Source organism: Homo sapiens, chromosome 3 (assembly GCF_000001405.40).
Source record: "Homo sapiens chromosome 3, GRCh38.p14 Primary Assembly".
Classification (NCBI taxonomy): Eukaryota; Metazoa; Chordata; class Mammalia; order Primates; family Hominidae; genus Homo; species Homo sapiens.
Window position 1 is genome coordinate 99766951 of NC_000003.12, and position 18893 is coordinate 99785843.

Here is an 18893-nt window from a genome sequence, read left to right on the forward strand (position 1 = left end):
AAAAAAAAAAAATGATGTCCTCTAGGGGAGGGGGACTCTCATGATATTGCATCACAAATTTGTATAAAGCATTAACTCTTTTTGGTTCCTTCAGATATGTTGTTGCATTCTACCTTAACAATAATAAGTGTAGTACTGTGACACCTTCAAAGACATGGTGCCTCCTCCAAGCCTGAAATACTCTGTGGTTCATCTTTTCCCTATGAGTTTGATCCTACGGCTCAGAAGGTGACACTTTTTACAATACAACTTCATTCATTTTAGAGCTTGCTTTCTCTGAAGATTTGGGATCTTACCTATTTTGCCACCATTTATTAATCTTAGAGCTCCTCAGACACAAGGTTTTCATTTAATATTTAACTTTGGCCCAGAGACATTTTTAAGTTTCTCCAGCCCAAGTCTTGGAAAAGAGCTAAGGAAATGTAGCCAGGAGAACTCTACAACAATGTTTTTAAAACCTCATATGTCCAGATTTAAAACTACATACATTTATCTTTTCTTCAGGAACAGCAATAACTCTAAGCTGACAAGATTTTTATTAATATTCTTGGTAACAGCTGGTGGACCCAACATGTTTTTTTGGAAAAAGAAAGAAACCTCAAATACCTTTCATTCACCCGTGATGACCTGGCTCAGTCCTTGAGAGGATTAGGAGCATTTCTTTCATAAAGTCACATTTCATTAGGATGAATGTTTTGCCGCAACCCAACTATATTGTAGCCCATCATCACCCTTTCAGTTGATTACCAAAAAGTGGATCAACATATAAGGCATCCTGCCACTGAACCTCTGAGTCTTAACATGCAGCAAGGTATAGAGGTGTAAGATATTATAAAAGACAAAGCAAATGCCCCAAAATAAAGGAGTGAGAAGTAAAGATAATACTAATGATAATAAAGTCATATTTTTCAGAATGAGTTAGCATGAGAAACTAATACTAGAAGAATTATATCAATTTCCTGGGCCTGGAACGAGAATATTGCCCATTCTCCTGTTGAAGGTGATATAAGGAGATTGTCATGAACAGTAAAATACAATGGAAGCTTGTCTGCATAAAAGTAACATTTGATTGAGATCGGTACATAACTAATCCCATTTCAAATTGAAAATAAAATCAAAATTGGCGACAGTAAGGCAAATTATTGGCAGAGTTGTAAGGGCAAAGTAAACATTCTTTTTCTCAGAAAGGTCCTACATTCCTGGATAAGGGGCTCCCATAAACTCAAACTCTTGAAAGTTAAGGAATACCGAAAGACATTTTCTTTTTTGCACAGTTGTTCCTACAATCAAGCTCCAAATCACCTGGTCTGATTTTACATGTACTAGAAGGATCACATGGGACTCAAAGTTTGTAATCTGTTGATAGCAAATAGGACTGTCAGATGGTATGGGCTATTGCACACTAAGAGCTCTCATTTATGAATCACTAGCTACCAGATACTTTTCAGAGTACTGTATATGGAGAAATCTCATTTACCCTTAACAGCACCCAAATGTAATATGTATTTCTAGATATCACCATTTTACAGGTGAAGAGCATGGGGTAAGTGATTTGACCAAGGTCACATAGACCATGAGGGTCAGAGACAGCACTGAAGCTTAAGGGTCTCCTTTAGATCTCATACACATAACTTTCCTGCTATGCTGGTTGTCATACACTTACCATCTTACCAGTCAGAATTCTCAGTAAACAGCTTTCTGAGTACCTGATAGAAAATGTTAGTACAGAGCCAGGTTGGTGCAGTCCTTGGACACCATCCTCACCCTTCCTAGTGTCCCCAGTCTCTAACTCTACCGGAGGTCTTCCTCCCTGAGAAGCTATACTCTCAGAAACTCTCCATCTGCCCAGTCCTTCATTCCAACTGGTACCTTCTAACTGGGACAATGGTCTCCATTAGAGAATAGGTAAAGGTTAATCTTATCAAAGTTATTCACACACATGTGAATTCTAGGTTATTCATGTGTGTGAGTGACTTCGTAGGATAACTCTATCAGAGAGTACTTGCATTTCAGAAGAGGGTTTTGTTAACTCAAATGAATCATACAGGAAAGGATTTTGTTGTTATTTGGTTGCTTTTGTGGTGCCTGTGGTATAAAGAGCACAGCATATGGAGTCAGAAAGAAGCTGAAATCCTAGCTCTGTCAATATCAGGTATGTAAAATTGTGCAAATAACTCAATATTCTGAATCTCTGGTTCCTCATCTTATTTTTAAGTTGACAACTCTTCATAGTAGTGTTGTCACAATTAAATAAGATGATGTATGTCTGGCACCAAACACACTGCCTGGCATATGAAGGGCATCTAATAAATGTCAGTCCTTATCCTATCCTCCAACCATTTCCCGAAGGACAAGAGCCATGGGGCTAACCCCTGACATAGACTGCCATCATTTTACCAGGGACATTGGATTGACAAGGTTTCTAGTTGTTGATAAGTGCAGACATTCTGCTATCTGCCTCCTTGGTAGCCTGCCAACTATTCATGTGCTTCTTGGAAAAGGAAACTTTTCCAAAAGGCAGGGACTTCAGAGGGCTGGTGAGACAGTGTCCTGTCATTAAAGCTTCACTGGAGATTGGCATTCCCAATATTAGCATCATGTTGCTATATGCTATAAAGGAGACAAAGTACTATCTTTTCTTTACCCATTGTAAGTTTCACTGGGACCCCTGTAACAAAAGACAGATTGGGCCAGGCGCGATGGCTCACGCCTGTAATCCCAGCACTTTGGGAGGCCAAGGCGGGTGGATCACGAGGTCAGGAGATTGAGACCAGCCTGGCCAACATGGTGAAACCGTGTCTCTATTAAAAATACAAAAATTAGCTGGGTGTGGTGGTACGCACTTGCAGTCCCAGCTACTCAAGAGGCTGAGGCAGGAGAATTGCTTGAACCCGGGAGATGGAGGTTGCAGTGAGCTGAAATGGCGCCATTGCACTCCAGCCTGGGCAACAGAGTTAGATTCCATCCAAAAAAAAATTACAAAAGACAGATTGACAAGAGAAAATCATACAATTTCTTGTTTTGATTCAAGCTTCTACAGACAAATTTATTTAATATAAGTTATATGTGACATGGGAGCCTTCAGAAATGAAGACCCAAAGACCCAGGACAAACTTTTTTATGAACAGTTGTGCAGAAGTATGATTAGAGAACAAAAGGGTATGGTCTAGTGTTAATTAACTGGGGGTAAATGGGAACTTAGCAAGGCCTGTTTGTTCAGATTCTTCGTGGCCCCTGGGTATAGGGCAGGACATGTTTGGAATGAGGGTTGTATGACCTACTTTCAGGACAGGTAGGTCAGAGAATTCTTTTCAGGCTCATTTCAGGAGAGAAAGGCAGGAGAAGGTCAAAGCGTGACCTTCTTGCTTCTGAGGTTTTCTCAATTACCTTCACCTTAAAATACTCAGTATGCCAAGGTATCATATTGTAGGGTAGTGTGTCCTTCACGATATCAATGCCAAAATGGCCTAGCCTGCTTTTTAAAGAGATTCATCTGCATTGCCTACAAATTTATTTATTCACTCAAAAACATGTATTCATCAACTACCATGTGTCAAATGTTGTGCTAAGCACTTAAGAGTGCAGAAGTAAATGACAGCCAGTGAATTGGGTTTCCTGATAGCACAGGTGACAATAAAAGAGAGAATGGAAAAGAGGTGTTCTACCAAGAGGTACACACATATATGCATATACATATATACTCACAAGACACAGAATCATACTCAAAGGACAGTGATTAACATCCATGGTGTCATCCATTCAATCATTTTTTTCCACACTTTTTGGAGCACCTACTATTTGCCAGCCACTGGGGAAACAGCGCGGTGATAAGATAGGCCAGGTCCCTTCTCTTGCAGAGTTTAAAAACATGGCAGAGGAGATAGGCAATGAATAAATTAAATAAGCAGGATAATTTCAGCTATTGAGAATGCTATGAATGAGGCCATGTGATAGAGAGTGACTGGGTTTGCGCACTGCCTTCGCCAGAGTGGTCAAGGAAGTCTTGTCTGAGGGGACAGCATTTCCCCAAAACCTGCATGACATGAAAAGGGGCCATTCATGTGCAGAGCTGGAAGAAGACCTTTTGGGCAGAAAAACAGCTTGCCCAAAGGCCCTGGCAGAACCAACTTGGTGAATCCAAAGAACAGAGAGAAGGTCAGTGTGGCCGATGCTTATTCAACAGGTGGAAATGGAATTAGGGACAGGAAAGAATCAGACAAGATAGGGATCTGTAAGTCACCAAAGGGAGTCTGGATGTTATTCAAAGAATAATTGGAAGGTATTGGAGGGTTTTTAAAAGAATGCTGTGACCTAATTTACATTTGTTAAATAAGAGAGAATATTCATATAATCCCACTCTAACAAAGTTAAATACATTCATGAAAAGACTGATGACCATTTTTGAACAATTGCAAATTAAAATATACTAATTCTAACTAGAAGTTTAATTTTAGCATCACTAGGTTAAATGCAATGACTGAGAAGTCATTTGAGGATATTTCAGTGACCTGGAGGTCTATAATGACCATCATTTATTAGGTGTGAGGAAAAAGGTGTCTTTTAAATTCTGGCCAAGAAGATACCAGGCAACGTAAACTCCACTTGAAATTAATGCCCCTCAAGCCTAATGTGCTTTCTGCAAAACAGTCATGGTTGAGCGGGAGCCTTTCTAGCTCATCAAGCTAGTTTTGTGATGTTAATTCTGTGCAGCTAAGAATAAGCCAGCATCTCTTCTGTGTTTTGCTTTCATGAAAATCCCATAATGCTAACTGTGAAGATGCTAATGGACCAAAAGTGTAATACTAGGCATGGCTAGGTTTTCAAGGGATCTTAGCTCACCCCCTCTGTAGGATGAGGTGTCCATATGGTGCCATATGGGGACATTAAGAAGCCACCTTCCCTCAAAGGTCCTCTGAGTGAGCCTCAGACTCCTGGCTTCCCCATCACAAATTCCTCCTTGGGTGACCAGAACTCTAGTAAAAGACAACTGTTTTATTCTGAAGGAGTAATCCAATGATACCATTGTCAGTCATGAATACCTTCCAATGTTGGTCTGTTAAAGTATCCAGTTACTACCTAGCAAAGCCCACATGCATTTTTTCTTAAGTCAGAATTCCAGGAAGCCCAAACTGTGGCTTTAAGATCACATCCATAAATAAATAATAGTACATCCAGACAATGGAATATTATTGAGTGCTAAAATCAAAGGAGTTATCAAGCCATGAAAAGACATGTAGGAATCTTAAGTGCATATTACTAAATAAAGAAGCTAATCTGAAAAAGCTACATACTGTATAATTCTGGAAAAGGCAAAACTATGGAGACAGTAAAAAGATGGGGAGTTTTCAGCGGTTGGGGAGGGTGAGTAGAGAAGAAAGAACAGGCAGAGCACAAAGGATTCTTGGAGCGGTGAAACTACCCAGTACAATACATGTCATTATGCATTTGTCAAAACTCATAGAATGTACAACACCAAGAGTGAACACTAATGTAAAATGGACTTTGGGTGATAATGAGGTTTCAGTGTAGGTTCATCATTTGCAATAAATGCAACATTGCGGAGCAGGATGTTCATAATGGGGGAGGTTGTGCCAGTGTGGGGGTAGGAGGAATATATGGGAACTTTGTACTCTCCCATATATTCCTGTAAACCTAAAACTGCTCTAAAACATAAAGTCAGTTTTTAGAAATTAAGTGATACACGGCAGAATGAAATAAAATTAGATCTTATTAAAAATGGGGAGCAGGTTTATGTGGAGGATCTCAAGGAGTAACCCCAAGCAGCATGATGGGGATGCCAAAGGATCCAGGGCTCACCAAACAATGGCCAGAACTCATAGGGAGTGTGTTTTGTGGCCTCCTGGAGAGGATATTGCCAGCCTGAAGATGTCTGTACTAATGGGAACAAATAACCCATACATAACAATGAGGCATTGATGCCATGTAGTCTTCCAGTGTCTTGAATCCAGAGTAGTCCTAACGAATGAGGCCTTTGGAGACAGACCAGCAGATTCAAATCCTACTATGCTACCTATTAGCTGTGTGATGACCTCAGGCAAGTGGTTTAACCTCTTTGGGCCCTCATTTCCTTGTCTTCAAAATGATTATAATAATAGCAACTGCCTCCCAGGGTTACTGGGATTGTATTAAATGGGATAACTTATTTGTAAAGCATCTAGCGCAGTGTCAGAACTTGGTAAACCTTCAATCAAAATTTGTGATGTGACTGAATATAGCCATTATTAGTAGAGCGTAATAGTGTTTGAAAACAGTCTAAGCCCTCACAAAATATGTGTTGTTTGAATTGTTAATAATAACAAGACTTCAATTAGGCCATGGCAGTTCCAGTTTAATGCCTGGCTTCCACGTCATAGTGAGCAGGCTCTTCTGGGTTTTTAAGGGGAATGGCAGCCAAGAGTGAGCCAAACCCTCCTCTAACCTATTATCACTGCATTTTAGTACGAAGTTTCTCCTCTGATTGTGATCTACACCTATATGTTTCATGAGTAGGACAAGATAAAATGAAGCCTCAGCTGCTATTATTTCTATTCATGTAGAATCTTTATTGTGGGGATCTTTATTTTAAAACTAACTTTGTATTAACTTGAGGTCTTTAAAGGAAAAGCTTTAGGTAAATTATAATATATAATTACATTTTATGTGTTTAATCCAAAAGGTACTTTAACGAATGCTGGAAATGTTTATTTCTATATCCAATCAGAACTCAGGATCACGCATAGCTTACCCTATGTAGCTTACCCTGTGTTTCTGTACCACTATGCCTGCATTGATAACTATGCAGGGGAGAGAAATGATAGGTTAGAAAATGAATAGATGGGTAAGTAGATGATTATATATATGTGTGTATATATATATATATATATATATTTTTTTTTTTTTTTTTTTTTTTTTGAGACCGAGTTTCACTGTGTCACCCAGGCGGGAATGTAGTGATGCAATCTTGGCCCACTGCAACCTCCGCCTACCAAGTTCAAGTGATTCTCCTGCCTCAGCTTCCTGAGTAGCTGGGATTACAGGCGCCCACCACCACGCCCAGCTAATTTTTGTATTTTTAGTAGAGATGGGGGTTTGCCATGTTGGCCAGGCTGGTCTCAAACTCCCGATCTCAGGCAATCCACCTGCCTTGGCCTCCCAAAGTGCTGGGATTACAGGCTTGAGCCACCACGCCCAACCCGATAGACATATATTTTTTAAAAAAGAATTTTCTTCACAAGTTATGATGCTATTTGATTGTGTTAGAAGCCGGAACAAGTAGAACCCAGCAGTAAGAATCTAGTATGGTTCCTCTAAAAAAATCCAGAATATCATTATATGCCAAAAAATATGTATATTTAGTCATTCTTAGCCTGACTCAGAGTTCTTATGAATAACTCATCATTTTTTTCAGTGTGCACCTGTATAAGGCCAGGTACTCATAGAGATCATTCAAAAGCTATTTATGTTTGCTACGCAATGTCTTCCATTTGCATTCTTTTGCAAGTCTTGTTCAGACTGATATTAAAATAAGTTTGTTTTTTATGGATACACATCAAGGATTGGAGAGCAGAAGAAGCCTAATCACATGCTGGGAGATGGAGAGAAGCCAGCATGAGATTGTAAAAATGTTGGCAACTATTACCCAAGCCCAACATGTGTGTTGGGCTGTTCATATCCAGCCCAACACACGTGAACAAGAGTTTAATGTTTCCCTGTTACTCATTTCACAGAGATTGAAACTGACAGAGGGAAGGAGTCTGAGCAGTGAACTCCTCAGCTAGGCAACGCCTCTAGACTGTGAGTCATTCCAGGACAGGAGCCTCATTCTCCACTCATTAGTGAGTCTCCAGCACTTGTTGTGTCTCAGCACTTGCTAAGTACTAAAAAAGGTGATCAATGAATTAATTAATAGGTGAAAGCATTTCTCTGCATTCCTCTAGTCTTAGACCTCCAATCTTCAAGTTGAACACTAGAATGATCTGGAGGTTGTTGAGCAAACCAAAGTAAATGGCCAAGCAATGTTTATTAGGGAAAATGTATAGAGGAAGAAACAGTGGTAGGTGTGAGGATCCCTTGTTATGTTGGCACATTCCTGGCTAGGGTCATACACAACGATCCAGCAGGCCTGAAAGACAGACACCACAAGAGGTCTCCTGCCCCTTGGATTATAAAGCATTTAAACTACATGATTAGAGAAGCATCAGCCCTTCCCCTGATGTGATCAGGGATAAAATACCAATATGACACAGCAGAACCTGGGCTCCAGTCTCTCCTGGCCACTCATCAATCATGGCTAAAGAAAGCACCAGGCTGTCTGGTGCTCTCCCATCTGGCATATGAGGTTCAAGTCTTATAACTTAGCTATTTAACATGGTGGGCTAGTGGCAGGATTTGCCCCATCCATGTGCATGTTTGGGAAGCACGAGACCCTCTTTTGGCAAGATATGGGAAAAGAGGGCTGGGGTCCAAGCCTTGCCAATGACCAGGATTTTTTGTCTTATGCGTAAACTGTAGCCAGTTTCCGTGGAGCTTTGGTGGAGGTCAGTTCCTTTCCTGGGAGGCCAGGCTGCAGGAGATTCCTCTTGAATACATTAACTCTTGTCTCTAAGTGGTGATGTGATAGACACAAATTAATCGTGCCATGATGGCCAGCCTCTCTTCCCAGAAACTGTGAGAGAGGCTTTGTGATGAGGCTAGGCTTCTCTAGGGTTCCTGTTACCTTGTACCTCCATGTTACTCTCTACCTATTCCCAGCCAGGGCAATCCACCTATACCTCCCAGACTGTCCCAGGCCCAATACTCCTAAATTTCCTCAGTCCCAGTTCCTTGGGTCCTGTTCTCCATTATAGATCAATCATCTGTCATACAAATCTTTGGACTGTGGGTAAGTCACTTAGCTTCTGTAGGCTTCTGGCTTTTCTGCTGCAAGATAGTCACAAAATCTGGGTATTGAGGAAAAGATCCCTCCAAAAGAGGCACTACCATCTAGTGGACTATTTTCATTTATTCCTTATTTTGTTTGCTTACAATTCTGGAACTTTAATAGAAATTTCAGGCACACAGCAGACCTATGGAGGAGGTATTTTGAGTTTTAATGCCACCCTACTTATATCACATTGGCATTTCCTTCTTGCTTACAAGAAGTTGGCCCCTGAACCAGTGAGGAAGAAGATGATTTTGATTCAGTGTCCCACTGTGGCCTCTGAAGGACATTAGTCTTTACTGTGTTTCAAGTTCAAAGTGATCTGATGAGATTGTAAGCACCAGATGGGACTCAGAAACCTGGGAAAGGGCAAAGAATCAGGGAAACCACAGGTAAAAGAGAAAAGGGGAAAAAACAGAAAGTCTGATAAGGAAAGGAAGCAGGACTGGGTTCTTTGTATTTTTTTTCATGTCTGTCTTTGCCTTGGATTGACATTGAGGCAGAAGTGACCTTTAAGTTGTGCCTGAATCCTCTACAGCTCCTAGCATGGTAGTTCAAAAATGTTTGTTGAATGGGATAAACAAGAAATCTAAAGTGGTGTGTGGTCATGAGCTCAGGGGAATGGGTCATCAACACTGCCCCAAACTTCACTGAATGTCCCCTGGTTAGTTTCACTTTGTAAGCAAAAAAAATTAGGAATAAATGAAAATGTTACCGGAAAGGGGTCCCAATCCAGACCCCAAGAGAGGTTTCTTGGATCTCACACAAGAAAGAATTTGAGGAAAACCCATAAAGTGAAAGCAAGTTTATTAAGAAAGTAAAGGAATAAAAGAATGGCTACTCCATAGGCAGTGCAGCAGCTTGGGCTGCTTAGCTAAGAATACTTATAATTGTTTCTTGATTATATGCTAAACAAGGGGTGGATTCATGAGTTTTCTGGGAAAGGGGTAGGCAATTCCCAGAACTGAGGGTTCCTCCCCTTTTTAGACCGTATAGTGTAACTTTCTGAAATTGCCATGGCATTTGTAAACTCATGGTGCTCGTGGGAGTGTCCTTTATCATGCTAATGCATTATAACTAGCATGTAACGAGCAGAGAGGAGGGCCAGAGGGCACTTTCATCACCATCTTGGTTTTGGTGGATTTTGGCCAGCTTCTTCACCACAACCTGTTTTATCAGCAACATCTTTGTGACCTGTATCTTGTGCCGGTCTCCTATCTCATCCTGTGACTAAGAATGCCTTAACCTCCTGGGAATGCAGCCCAGTAGGTCTCAGCCTTATTTCACTCAGCCCCTATTCAAGATGGAGTTGCTCTGGTTTGAATGCCTTTGAGAAAAATACTCCACTAGAGAGTAGTGCCTGTCTTGGGGGAATCTTTTCCTCAATACCCAGATTCTATTACCGTTTTACAGCAGAGAAGCCAGAAACCTATAGAAGCTGAGTCACAGAGGCTGGTGGCGAGCTCAGGACAGACACCACATTTCCCAGCTCTCAGAGTTAGAACTGTGAGATTCAGATGGATGAATAAAATATAAAAGATGGGGAAAGTAAAATAAATTGCAGACTGCACAAAGTTGAACTGGAATCATGACAACCAATCCTTAATCTGTTTGCTATTAGGGTGGAGAACAAGATGGCATTCTGCTCCTCTGGAATTCAGACACACTTTCTGGTATTTAAAGGAATACAAGGAAAGCTCACACAGACTGAGCTGGGTCTCTTTATAGTGTAAATATCTTTCCAATGGGAAAAAAAATTACTGAAAGATGGTAAGTTTGTCTTCTGACAATATTTCCCAGACGTTTTTCTAGTGTTAACAAAGCTCTCTTGGAGTGTAACTGTTTCTGAGGAGTGGTAACTTTAAAGCAAAACGAAGGAAAATTTCAATAAGAACCAAGCTGCCCCAATTCTCCCTTTATTTTTAAACAGAACCATCAAAGGGCAGCTAACGGAAATACACTTAAGTGGCATTAATTCATCCTGAAGAGAACTCTCAAAGAGTTTTATTGCTACATAAGGGAAAGCTATAAACCAGCAGGAGAGGAAAGCAAAGAAAATAAGTCTGGGGAGACATCTTGTGTAAGAAAGTGAGCAGGTGGTCAATAATGTATCCTTGGCTGGTTTCCACAGCAAGAGACAGAAATTCATGGCAAGGATGTGGCCCACAAAACAGACTATCACAGAGAAAAGAATTGTGGAACTTTGCAAAGTGCTGTTGAAGAGTTCACATGAATATGAAATAATAAAATAATAAAATGCTCATCTCCCCTCCTTTTTCTCAACACCTATCCCATTTCATGTTAATACTCGACTCCAATAGCCTACTGCCTGACTCTGTCCAGTCCCTGGCATGATTAAAGACAACAACAACAACAAAAATAACTAAGATGGGGAGGGCCAACGACAGTGAGTTTTTAGACCTAAAAGTAACACTGGGGTCACTTAGTCCAACAATCTTGGTTTTACGAACAAGGAAATGGGTCTTAGAGGTTACTTTTGTAGAGAGAGAGAGAACTTCAGAGCTTTTTCCTTGCAATGAGAAGTCTTAAATTGCATATTCAGACTGGAGATTTAGAAAAATGCCTCTACGATCTTGTCATTCAGCTCAAGCTAAGCCTAAGAAATTTATCATAGGTATAAAGAGAATCTTACAAGTATCCTGAAAATGAGTAAAAGTTATCACTGATCTCAAGAATATTTTACCATCGGTCAACCCTTCATCATTCTTTACAGGGCTTTTAAAATAAAAAAAAAAAGGCACTCTTTATTAATTTCTAAGGAAGAATGGCTATTATATAGGATTTTCCATTCTTGTAAGCTGGCAGGAGACCTCAGCACACAAAATCAGGAGAGTAAGAATGAAAACAGTAGGCATGGGGAAGAGTAACATCGATCCAGTGTTCGGGTGCTCTCTCAGTCATCATACTACCAAGATGGTATTTCAACACTTAGAAAAGGGGTAGGCAGGATGAAAATGGTGCCATTTGACAAGCATTTCTCAAGACTACTTTCTGCACAGTTATGAACTAAGTGCAAAGAGAATTCCCAAAGATAAAGGTTTGATTCTATTCCCCCAGACACTTGAGTGAGCTGTTACATGGCATGTCCCTCCCCAAACCAGCTTCTAGAATTTATCACCAAGAATTAGTTTTTCAAAATAAAATGCATTACAGATTTGCTTCACTTAGGGGGAAATTAACCTTTTGTATTTCAACAAATGCCTATGGCTAAATATTGTTTGAGATTTATTTGGCATTTTAGATGTGAGGATACTACTTTTCACTATGTATAAAAAGAAGTATATACTGAATTAAGTCTGTGTTTTTTCATACACAAAATTATGTAGAGGTCTATGGGTAAGGAATGAATTTTTTAGACATAACTGTTTAAATATGGTAAACAATAAATAAATGTTTGTTGTAGCAATATTATTATTCAAGTCCCCCAAAACAGCATGGAAAGATAAAGCTAAAAAAGTGATTGTAAGCTGATGATTTTGCTGACCTAAAGGTTTATATATGTATTACTTGTGGATTTTACTTCCTTCAGCAGTAAAAGATAGCCTAAATTCTGTAGTCACTCCCACAAGGGCAACCTGCTGCTATCACCTGGCAGAAATGTCTTCAGTTCTCTGAATTTCAAAGCCAAAGCCCTTTGCAGTCAATACAAAGAAGGCTCCTCAGAGTGGCCAGTTTTCTGGGGGAAAGGGAGCAGGACGAGATCCAGCCTTTGAACTAGTGTTTCCATGTGGCTAACAGGTAGGAGACGCGCCGCACTGAAGTGGGCAAGCAGATATAATATTTGTTACTCACTTATTAGAAACTGTCTTTACCTTGCCTTTCTTCAGACAAAGAGAACTTCAGAGATTTTTCCTTGCAATGAGAAGTCTTAAATTGCATACTCAGACTGGGGATTTAGAAAAATGCCTCCATGATCCTGCATTCAGGTCAAGCTAAGCCTAAGACCTTTAACATAGGTATAAATAGAATCTTACAAGCATCCTGAAAATGAGTAAAAGTTATCATCGATCTCAAGAACATTGAGCCAGGGGACAATTGGTCAGCCTAGTTTTCGAAACAGGTCTGGAGCAGTGTGAAAACAAAAACCATTACCTTACAAATTCTTCCAGATGAGACTGCAGTGAAGCAAAGTGTCACGGAACGTGTGCTCAAGATCCCATCTATTATTACCACTGCTCCTCCTCCACCACCACCCCTGTTTTCTTTTTTTTAATTTAAATAATAGCTAACACTTATAAAGTGCTTAGTATCTATATTAGACACTGTTGTAAGCACTTTATTGTATTAATTCCCTTAATCTTCTCAACAACCTCATAAGACAGATAATGTTATCATCAGCAGCAATTTATCAAAAAGAAACCAAGGCACAGACAGGTTAAGTAACTTGCTTAAGATTACACAGCTAATAAGTGATGGAATCAGGATTTAATTCAGGCAATTTAGCTCATACTTTCTGCTCTTGCTAACTTCATCACAAACTCTAGTCAGCCAGCTGGACTCATTCATGCCCCTCGCTACTTCCTTTAGGCACTGGGCTTCTACAACCCCCAAACCCCATCTAATTCACTCCCTTCATTTTACAGTTTAGTAAAGGAGGCCCTGAAAGGTTTACAAGGATATCATGATAGAGAAGTTTACAGAGAAGACTCTGAGTGTCCCATCTCCAGCTCAGTGCCCTACTCACACTCTAAGTCCTAAGAAATAACATTTGTGATCCATGTTTATCAACGAAATTCCATATGTTCTTGTAAGTTCTGGTGCCTTATAATGAGTTTTGCTCATAAAAAGAAAAGTCCTTTACACTCTCAGCCTCCTTAACTGATATATCCTGAAGACCTGGCATCTGTTACATAATACTCTGCCCTTTCCTTTCTCCACTTCCATTTTTCTTTGAAAAATGTTCAGTGGATTAACTGTGAAAACCTTATGATTTTTCCTCCCAGACACCACATCCATCTCTCTATCCCTCAAAATAAATTCCACCCCTTAAATAAATGGAATTTCCAATACCAAGATAGCTGTGGTTTGGTTGCTCTCCGAGCTTTGCCTTTGTTCAAAGGGCAGGATGTTACCACGCAGGCTAATTATCTAGATGGGGCTGTGGTTGAAAAGTGGTGGATTTTAGAGACTGCCCTCTCTGTGGCTGACGATTTATCACAATTGAGTATTTTAGGCTGAGCCCCAGGTTTAGAACTAAATGTTTTTCAGTTTAAATTCATTGTTGGGAACAGTCCTGTGGAATGATTTCTGCTACTCCTGAACCATGCACCAAGGAAAGAACAAATCCACATTTTCACTGACCAAGAAATTGTCAAGATGTTTTAGTTCTTTTATAATTCAGAAATTGTCAGGACTAAATATTGCAACTTTAGTAGGATTGCCATTCTGACTGAATGGTGTCTTTGTGTGTGGTGGTGGGTGAGGGGGTAGGAGGAACCAATTTTAGAAAACATTGATTAATTATTTTTATTTTCCAAGTGCTATTGATATGATTTAATATTCTCCCCATGTAAGATAGAAACTTAACTTTGGCTTAACTTTTAATATCAAGTCATTCAGGGTTATATGATTCAAAATAACCTTAGCTAAACAAAACTTCAACAATTGGATCCCCAAGAAATGTACTATAAAATTTATATTTTATGTAATACATTATAGTTGTGTGCTCTAAATAAACATTTTTACGATGTCCACTTTAATGGATTACATTAGATGAAATTTCCCCACATCTCTCCCTTGCAAAAGGCCTTAAAACACTTATTTTACATTGTGTTGGCTACACAAACTGTACTAGTGCATGTACTAGCACATGAACAGAAAGCTGTTCATGTAAGTAACAGTGTTCTGCAGTCCTTCTAGAGCCATACTAAGAAGGAACTCACCTTGCTGTGTATCGCCAGGTCCACGGAATGGCAAGGACCTTATTCTTGCAGAGCCCTACCAATGCCCTACTTTACTGTAGAGCTGCCTCTGGATTTTAGATCTTCCATTTTTCTTACAAAATTGTTGTTGTTCCTAAAACATGACTATGTCACACTCATTAACCACGAATTTCCCCTTTCCAATGTGCATACTTTGTACTTGTCATTCTTATGACTGGAAACCTACATCAATATTTGCTGAATGACTGCAGGAATTTTTGAGCACACACATTGTATGAAGTTTTTATCTTTTATAGCCACTTTTTAAAGGTTTCTCAGTAAGCTTCACATTTGTATTCAACCTTTGAATGTGGTAAGAAAAAAAAACCATGGATTATTATCATTATTGTCCCTAAACCACGTTTCTTATTTCTTCCTTTGGTTTCTGGACAAGTATAGCTTATTTGACCAGAGGAATATTTAAGGGGGGTAGGGGGTGTACAAACTCTCCATCATTATTCCATCGCCAACTGTAAGAAGGGAGAGTGCAATATTGAAAAGTAACTGCAAGTATGAGATTGATCTAACTTTCTGACATACAAAGGCTTGAGTACCTAAGTTCCTAAAATTATTATTATTATTTATTTATTTATGTTTGAGATGGAGTCTCGCTCTGTTGCCCAGGATGGAGTGCAGTGGCATCATCTCAGCTCACTGCAACCTCCACCTCCTGGGTTCAAGCAATTCTCCTGCCTCAGCCTCCCGAATAGCTGGGATTACAGGCATGTGCCACCATGCCCGGCTAATTTTTGTATTTTTAGTAGAGACAGGGTTTTGCCATGTTGGCCTGGCTGGTCTCGAACACCTGACCTCAGGTGATCCGCCCGCCTCAGCCTCTCAAAGTGCTAGGATTACCAGCGTGAGCCACCGCACCCGGCCCCTGACATTATTTATTTATAAGTGTGGATATGTTCTTCACATTCACAATTACAAAAAACTTTAGAAGTAGAAGGGACCTCAAAGTCATATAGCTAATGTTCTCATTCTGCAAATGAGGGAACTAATGCCTAGTCAGAATAGGTGACTTACTTGGGTCCGAACTAAAACTTAGGTATTTTCTGCTCTGAAAGCAATGATGCTTTCATATTAAGGAAAGAAAAAATATATATTCTACTTTAGAATTTCTTTTTAGGGGTTTTCCCAAGTGTTTTATAAACTGTTTAGCAGCTGACACTATTCCAGTTAGAGAAACAAAAAAAAAATTAATTGCAAACTTCAAATACGTGAGCTATTATTTTAAGAAAAATATTCTCCAGATGTTTCCCAACTCCTTTGAGAGTGGAAAAAAGGCAATGAACTTACAGTTCGGCAGAAGAGATTCGGATTAGATATTAGGAAATCTAATGTGAAATCCTACAATTGGTTACTAGGGAATGTTGTAAAATCTCCTCTGGAGAACCTTTGGAATGTGGTGGTTGGCCACTCATTTCAGAGGCATTATGTGTGTGGTTCATTTCTAGCGCTGGGGGCACAACCTAATTGACTTCTCAAGTTTCGTTGGTCCCATGAGGTCATTATCTGCCTATAGCTAGTACATGGGGATGATTGGCTGCTCTTAATTACAGAATTCAGAATTTGTTAGTGAAGCATATAATTTAGGCTGTTTTACATTTATAGCCATCCCAGTAGATGTAAATGAGCAGATTGACCAAAACCAGTAAATGTTCATTGGATGGTCTTGCCCACTGCCTCCATGTGATTGATTGACCAGAATCTGACAGGCTTATTTATTTGGGCTATTAGTCCATTTTCACACTGCTATAAAGAACTACCTGAGACTGGGTAATTTATAAAGAAAGGAGGTTTAATTGACTCACAGTTCCACATGGCTGGGGAGGCCTCAAGAAACTTATAATCATGATGGAAGGAGAAGGAGAAGCAAGAACTTTCTTCACAAGGTAGCAGGAGAGAGAGAGCACGTGCGCGCAAGGTGCGGGGTTTGGGGGGATCTGCCAAACACTTTTAAACCATCAGATCTCATGAGAACTCACTATCATGAGAATAGCACAGGGTAATCCACTCCCATGATCCAATCACCTCTCTCTAGGTCCCTCCCTTGACATATGGGGATTACAATTTGAGATGAGATTTCGGTGGGGCCACAGAGCCAAACTATATCAGGCTCCATCTCAGCATATTTACCTTGCCAGTGGCTTTGTGACTTAATGAATACTTTAAGCTTGTATTCCTAGTCAGAAAACCAAAGAGTAAGAAAGCCTGTCTAAGAGCTTGTCTTATGTAAGAGAAGAATTCCTTATTTCATGCAAAAGGAGGGCCTTGATATTTGGAAGACAAGATGGAGAAAACTGACTGTACAGTTAGATGGATCTGTACCTTGTAAAACAAAGCTGGAACTTTGTTAGCTAATATATTGGATGGCAGCTCCTACACATAATTAAATAACAATTTTCAATTTTTGACTAGGAATGTAACAGGAATAACTGTATACAGTCTTGAATTTCAGTAAAATAATCAATCATATAAATATAGGATGGGGATATTATCAATTAGAAACTGTAATGTCAAAAAAGACCTAAGAAATGGATATGGGATTAATGATATAAAGTATTTGAAGTATAGTTATGTGTCATTTAACAACAGGAATATGTTCTGAGAGATGCACCATTAACTGATTTTGTCATTGTACAAACATCATGGAGTGTACTTACACAAACCTAGATGGTACCACTTGCTACACACCTTGGCTACATGGCATAGCCTATTAATCCTAAGCTACAAACTTATACAGCATGTTACTGTACTGAGTGCTGTAGGCAACTGTAACACAATGGTAAGTATTTGTGTATCTAAATATATCTAAACATAGAAAAGATAATGCATTGCACCACAGTCATTATGATGGCTAAGACCTCACTAGGTGACAGGAATTTTTCAGCTCCATTATATTCTCATGGGACCACTAGTATAAATATGGTCCTTTGCTGACTGAAGCATCATTATGCACCTCATGACTACATAGTACCTGGGACTTTTTTCCAGTAAATAAAAAACAATGTTGAGATAATGCTGAGTTACTTACCTGAGGGTCATAGATCAATATAGTTAGAGTCATTAATATCTCTTAATACTAATCAATTTTGCAACAAAGGTACATATCCTTGATCAGATGACCCTAAGGTGGGCTTATTTAAAATGATCTTAGCACAACAATAAAAGGTCATGTGCCCATCTTTTATGTTATGACCAAGTTTTGGGATTCATTTTCTCAACATGCCCTCCCTTCCTCCACCACTAATAGTAAACTGCATGTGCACCTCCATATGTGAATCAAGAAAGGTAAGTCTCTCTAAAAGTTGTTTAGATAATTTAAAAAGCAACAAAATTGTACAAAATACTGAGCTGCTTTTTAAATGTTCCCATCATTATTAATATCCAAGTCAAAAATATGAGGGCTTTCTGTCAACAACCTCTGTAGGTAGAATTTTCAATGGGGAGTGAAGCTGAATTAGGTATTTTTGAAAGCCCCTATCAACACACTAAGACTTTTGATGATGAGGATCCATCAGTAAATATTGAGAAGTCAAATTATTCTTGTCCTCAGAAAGCTTACAATCATGTTTAGTCTAATGGACAAAAAACAACAAGAAAAAAACATAAGCTTGGTTACAATTACATTTGACTTTGTATTAAACTTTAGGAGAATAACAATGATGGAGAAGGTGGGGAAGGCTTCACAGAGGAGGCAGGAATAGAACTGGTCTGGAGGAAAGAAGGTGTTATGGGCTGAGTTGCATCCCCCAGAATGCATATGTTGAACCTCAAGTACCTCAGAATTTAAGCATATTTGAAAATAGGGCCTTTAAAGAGGAAATTAAGTTAAAATGAGGTCACTAGGGTGACCAGTGTGGCTGGTAAATAAGAAGAGGCAATTAGGACACAGACACATGGAAGAAAGACTGTGTGAAGACGCAGGGAGGTGACTGCCATCTACAAGCCAAGGCGAGAGGCTCCAGCAGAATCCAACTCTGCCAATATCTTGATCTTGAACTTCAATGTCTCTAGAACTGTGA

General features: G+C 39.5%; 1 protein-coding gene across 2 annotated transcripts in view, besides 2 other annotated features; it reads left to right on the top strand.

Moving 5' to 3' along the window:
• The window catches only part of COL8A1 (collagen type VIII alpha 1 chain), a 160624-nt gene that overhangs the window by 128357 nt on the left and 13374 nt on the right, over positions 1 to 18893 (top strand). The gene's annotated exons all lie outside the window — the stretch shown is intronic.
• Positions 7659 to 7708: a silencer, noted in NCBI's record as "silent region_14564". NCBI's record gives its function as "represses an Ori minimal core promoter by ATAC-STARR-seq in GM12878 lymphoblastoid cells {active_cell/tissue: GM12878}" and the evidence as "EXISTENCE:reporter gene assay evidence [ECO:0000049][PMID:35858748]".
• Positions 7729 to 7808: a silencer, noted in NCBI's record as "silent region_14565". NCBI's record gives its function as "represses an Ori minimal core promoter by ATAC-STARR-seq in GM12878 lymphoblastoid cells {active_cell/tissue: GM12878}" and the evidence as "EXISTENCE:reporter gene assay evidence [ECO:0000049][PMID:35858748]".